A 6360-nucleotide genomic window follows, 5' to 3' on the forward strand; every position below is an offset into this window, starting at 1 on the left:
TCCAGAATACTCTAACACTGTAATGTAGTGTGCAAATTATTTTAAGTCAAAATAATAAAAAATAACTGAAGCTACAATAAGTTGTTAAGTGATATTCAATATAAAAAGATGTAAATTGTGACATCAAAAACATTAATTTCAGGGGAGGGTAAAAGTTGAGAGTTTTTCTTTGCAACAGACATTAAGTTGTTATCAGCTGAAAATAGTAGATTATAACTGTAAGATGTTTTATATAAGTCTCATGGTAACCACAAAATGAAAAACTACAGCAGTTATACAAATGATGAAGAGAAAGGAATCAAAGCTTTACACTACAGCAAATTATCAAATCACAAAGTTAGACAACAAGAGAGGAAGAAATGAACAAAGGAGCTATAAGAAAACAAGTAAAATGGCAGTAGTAAGTCCTTAGCTATCAAGAATAATCATGAATGCAAATAGATTAAATTCTAAAATAAAAAATACATGCTGTGGCTGAATGGCTAAAAAAAACCCCAATATCCAACTATATCTTACCCACAGGAGACCCATTTAAACTTTAAGATACACATAGGCTGAAAGTGAAGGAATTAAAGAAGATAGTCCACACAAATTGTAACCAAAAAAGAACAGAGGTGGCAATACTCACAACCTGTCACAAGAACAAAGGAAGGTCTCTATTTAATGATAAAGGGGTCAATTCATTAAGAAGACATAACTGTTATAACCATATATGCACCCAATATTGGAACACTTAAATATATAAACAAATATTAATATATCTGAAGGAAGAGATACATTCCAATACAATAATAGTAGGAGATATCAACACCCCACTTTCAACATTGGATATATCACCCAGACAGAAAATTAATAAGGAAATACTGGATTTGATTGCAGTTTTGAACAAAATGACCTAACAGATATATACAGAACTCTCCATCCAACAGCAGAAGAACACACATTTTTCTCCTGCATGCATGGAACACACTCCAGGATAGACCGTATACTAGGCCACAAAACAAGTCTTAACAAATTTAAGAAGCTCGAAATCCTATCTAGCATAATTTTTGGACCACGATGGTATAAAACCAGAAATCAATAACAAGAGGAATCTTAGAAAATTTACAAATATGTGAAAATTAAACAATATGCTCCTGAACAACCAGTGAATCAAAGAAGAAAACAAAAGGGAAATTAAAAATATATTGAGACAAATGACAATGAAAATACAGCATAGCAAAACTTCAGAAAAGCAGTTATAACAGGGAAATTTCTAGCAATAAATGCCTATGCTAAAAAAGAAAAAAAAAGTCTCAAATAAACAGTCTAACAATATGCCTAAAGGATCTAAAAAAGAAGAACAAATTTGACCCAATATTAACAGAATGAAGGAAATAACAAAAATTGGAGCAGAATTAAATCAAATAGAAAACAAAAAGCCACAAAAAGAATCAATAAAACTAACGGTTGTTTTAAAAAGGTAAACAAAATTGGTAAACCTTTAGCTAGTCTAACTAAGGAAAAAGAGAGAAGACACAAATAAATACAATCAAAAATTAACGTGAAGAAATGACAACAGATGTCTCAGAAATAAAAAGGATCATAAGGGACTATCATGTACAATTATATGCCAACAAATTGGACAACCTAAAGGAAAGGGATAAATTCCTAGAAGAATACAACTTACCAAGATAAGTAAGGACTACAAAGCTTAAAGAGAAAAATAACAAATAAAGATATTGAAGAAACAATAAAAAACTTCCCAACAAAGAATAGCCCAGGACCAGATGGCTTCACAGCTGAATTCTACCAAATGTTCAAAGAAGAATAACAATACTTTTTTAACTCTTACAAAAATAGAATTGGAGGGAATATTTCCAAACACATTTTATGAGGCCAGCATCACCTTGATACCTAACCCAGACACAGAGATCACAAGAAAAAAAAACTACAAGCCAATCTCTAATGAACATTAATGCAAAAATCCTCAATAAAACATTAGCAGACTGAATCCGACAACACATAAAAAAGATTACACATCATGACCAAGTAAGATTTATCCCTAGCATGCAAGACTGGTGTAACGTATGCAAATTAATCAATATGATACATCACATTAACAGAATGAAGGACAAAAGCTACATGATCATCTCAATTGACAAGAGAAAAGCATTCAACAAAGCCCAATATCCTTTCTTGATAAAAATCCTCAACAGTTTAGGCACAGAAGAAAAGTTTCTCAATGTAATAAAGACTGTGTATGAAAAATGCACAGCTAACATAATCAACTGGAAAAAACTGAAAGCTTTTCCAGTAAGATTGAGGCAAAGATTTCCACTCTCAGCACTTCTGTTAAACATAGTACTGGAAGTACCAACAAAAGCAATCAGATAAGAAAAAAAAATAAAAGGCATACAAATCAGAAAGGAAAAAATAAAATTATCTTGATTTTAAGGTGACATGATTCTGTATGTAAAAAATACCAAAGGTTCCACAAAAATCTGTTAAAACTAATAAATGAATTCAGTAAAGTTGTAGGATATGAAATCAACACACAAAACTCAATATCATCATTAAACACAAAACAACAGCCTATCTGAAAAAGAAGTCAAGAAAACAATCTCACTTATGATAGCATAAAAATAACTAGGAATAAATTTAACCACAGAAGTGAAAGATCTGTATATTGAAAACTACAAAAACATTGATGAAAGAATTTGATGAAGATTCAAATAAATGAAAAGGTATCCCATGCTCAAGGATTGTAAAAATTAATTTTGCTAAAATGTCTGTACTACTCAAAGCAATATACAGATTCAATGCAACCCCTATCAAAATCCCCAATTAGCCAAAACAATTATATAAAAGAAAAACAAAGCTGGGGGCTTTACAAATCTTGATTTTTAAATTATATTACAAAGCTATAGTAATCAAAACAGTATGTTACTGGCATAAAAACAGACAGACCAGTGGAAAAGAATAGAATCTAGAAATAAATCCAAACATATATGGTCCCCTATTTTTTGACAAGGGCATGAAGAGGACACAATGAGGAAAGTGTAATCTCTTCAATAAATGGTGTTAGGAAAACTGGATTTCCACATACAAAATAATAAAATTGGTTCCATTCTGTGAAAAAGTTCTTCCCTATGTCAACTCTCAGGCACTTCTGGCTTTCTGTGCTTGTGGCTTAGGAGCAAAGTGGCTCTACTTGAGGGCAGTCCTTCAAGAAAGAATCATAGGAACGGACTCTGCCAAGCAAACGCACATCAACGCTAAGGAGGGGCAGTATGGTAATTTTAAAACATCTCTATAAATTCTTTAACGCTTTTCCCACAAAAGGTGATCTAATTCTCTGTCCCTTAAATATGGGCATGTCTTAGTGATCACTTCTAATGAATACAATGCAGCAGAAGAGACACTGCATGAATTCCAAGGCTAGGCTCAAAAAGGTGTCCTACTCCCTGATTCTGACTCTCTCTCAGGCAGTTCTTGCCCTTAGAACTCAGGTACCATGTAATGAGGAAGCCTTATCCACATGGAGATGTGTGGCTGGCAACTCCAACTAAGGTCTCTAAGCCCATAGCCAGTATCAACCACAGACATGTGAACGAGTTAGTCTTCCAATGATTCCATCTCTCAGCCTCCTGGATGATACCCCAGAAATCATAGGCTAGGGCCATTCTGCCCATGCTGTTCCCGGTCCAAACTCGACCTACAAAATCCATAAGCATAATGAATGTTTGTTTCATGCCACTGAGTTGTGAGATACTTTGTTACAAGCCATAGAGTCTAGAACACTAGACACTGAAATTGTAAGAATTTCTGTGGGAAGTTTCCGAAGGAATATGGGGGGAGCACTGGCATTTGTGACAGTCCCTGATGGTATTTGTTGACCAAGGGATTGTGAATAGCATTTCTGCCTCACAGATGATTGGACAGACTCATGGGATAGAATAATTTATTGGAAAGAACATTGGCCATGGAGTCATGACCTGGGTTCAAATTCTAGCTTGGCTATAAATCCTTTAATCTCTTGTAATCAGAATTTTCCTGGACATCCAAAGATAACTACACCTATCTGATAGGGTTGTTTTTGAGGACTGAATAAAATAATGTATGCAAAAGTACCTGAGACTGTGAGGAGTTTCAATGAGGAGTCTTTCTCCATTAAGTGTGTTTCCACTTCACATAGACCAATGTTATTTTGTACAATTGTTGGTCAAGTAAACACTTCTCTTTGCTAATAGGGGAGAGATGCAGACTTTTTCTTTCAAATTAGAGCATTTTCTCTGTTAGAAAACCTTTTTCTACCCTGTTAATCTTAGAGGACACTTGCATGAAGTTATTTTTCCAATACTGAATAGATGGTCTGGTGCAGTTAAAGTCTTAAAGAGCACTTACAGTTCTTTGTTAGGGTGCCATTATTATTAAATAATGTGGGTTTCTCCATTATAGAAACCATCTTGACTATTGGAAATACTGTCAAAACCATATTTGGTAAACCAGGAATGAAATGCATCCTTATTAAGTTATTCAACAATTTTGAAGTTTGCATTTGGAACCATTCACAAAGTTCTTTTTAAGTTATTAATTTCACATGAGGGAAGGAAGAGATGTCTAGACAAATATGCCTTAGAAGAAGTATTTTAAAATAAAACCTTTTCTGAAATGAATATACAGTATTGTACCCTAACATCTTACTTTGAACTCACTGTGATAGTTGTTTCTTGAAAACAAGAAAATGTTCTGTGAGTTAACCAGACTTGAGAGTTGTGATTTTTATATAGAATATATTTTTAGGAATGTGAAAAAACTTAGTTTTGTTCATAGAAAGGCTTTAAATTTTTTTTTTACAAAACATTTTAATGAAGACCTTTTTTCAGTGGGATTTATGAGCCTATAGACATAAAAATAACAAAGAGACCATATTCTGGTCTTAAGAAGAGTCTAATATGAATATATTGAAAAGCTCAAATAAGAACCCCTGTGATTTGTAGTGCCATATCATTTGATTATTGGCAAAATGACCTATCAAAACCATGGAATTTTAAAATCTTATTTGGCTCTTCCACCTACTGACTTTGTCAATGAGCTCTGTTTGGCCATGTCAATATGATTTAACAAATTGTTGATGACAATTAACAATTAAATAATTCAGTTGAATTCAAGATTATTGCGAATCTTATGTATGACTACTTTTTCTCACCTGAGAAGGGTTTTCTAGGCAAAAGCACTGGGGTCAGATTCAGGTCTATATTCTGCCTGATTCTTCCATCTTTCCCAGCACTATCTCCAGAGAAGAAACTGGGAGAACTGCCTTTTTCTTTCTTTCTTTTTATTATTATTATTATTATTATACTTTAAGTTTTAGGGTACATGTGCACAATGTGCAGGTTAGTTACATATGTATACATGTGCCGTGCTGGTGCGCTGCACCCATCACTGGCCATCAGAGAAATGCAAATCAAAACCACAATGAGATATCATCTCACACCAGTTAGAATGGCAATCATTAAAAAGTCAGGAAACAACAGGTGCTGGAGAGGATGTGGAGAAATAGGAACCCTTTTACACTGTTGCTGGGACTGTAAACTAGTTCAACCATTGTGGAAGTCAGTGTGGCGATTCCTCAGGGATCTAGAACTAGAAATACTATTTGACCCAGCCATCCCATTACTGGGTATATATGCAAAGGACTATAAATCATGCTGCTATAAAGACACATGCACACGTATGTTTATTGCGGCACTATTCACAATAGCAAAGACTTGGAACCAACCCAAATGTCCAACAATGATAGACTGGATTAAGAAAATGTGGCACATATACACCATGGAATACTAGGCAGCCATAAAAAATGATGAGTTCATGTCCTTTGTAGGGACATGGATGAAATTGGAAATCATCATTCTCAGTAAACTATCGCAAGAACAAAAAACCAAACACTGCATATTCTCACTCATAGGTGGGAATTGAACAATGAGAACACATGGACACAGGAAGGGGAACATCACACTCTGGGGACTGTTGTGGGGTGGGGGGAGGGGGGAGGGATAGCATTGGGAGATATACCTAATGCTAGAGAACTGCCTTAATAAATCTCTGCCACACAAATTCTCATATCATAATCTGAAAGATGACTTGAGAAGATGCCTCACTGCTGTTATCCCACAGGTGAGATGAAGGATAGTAACATTTAGGAATTTTGGAGAAATGAAGAGTTTTTCACTTCCTTATAACTCTTCTGACACTCATTCATTTATTCAACAAATGTTTACTGAGGGCCTACTATGTGCCAGGCACAATTCTAAGCACTGAGAATATAGTAGTGAACAATGCAGATAAAGATCGCTGTGTGTGTTTATGGAACACATA

The sequence above is a fragment of the Homo sapiens genome, chromosome 5 (genome assembly GCF_000001405.40).
Source record: "Homo sapiens chromosome 5, GRCh38.p14 Primary Assembly".
In the NCBI taxonomy this organism is placed as follows: Eukaryota; Metazoa; Chordata; class Mammalia; order Primates; family Hominidae; genus Homo; species Homo sapiens.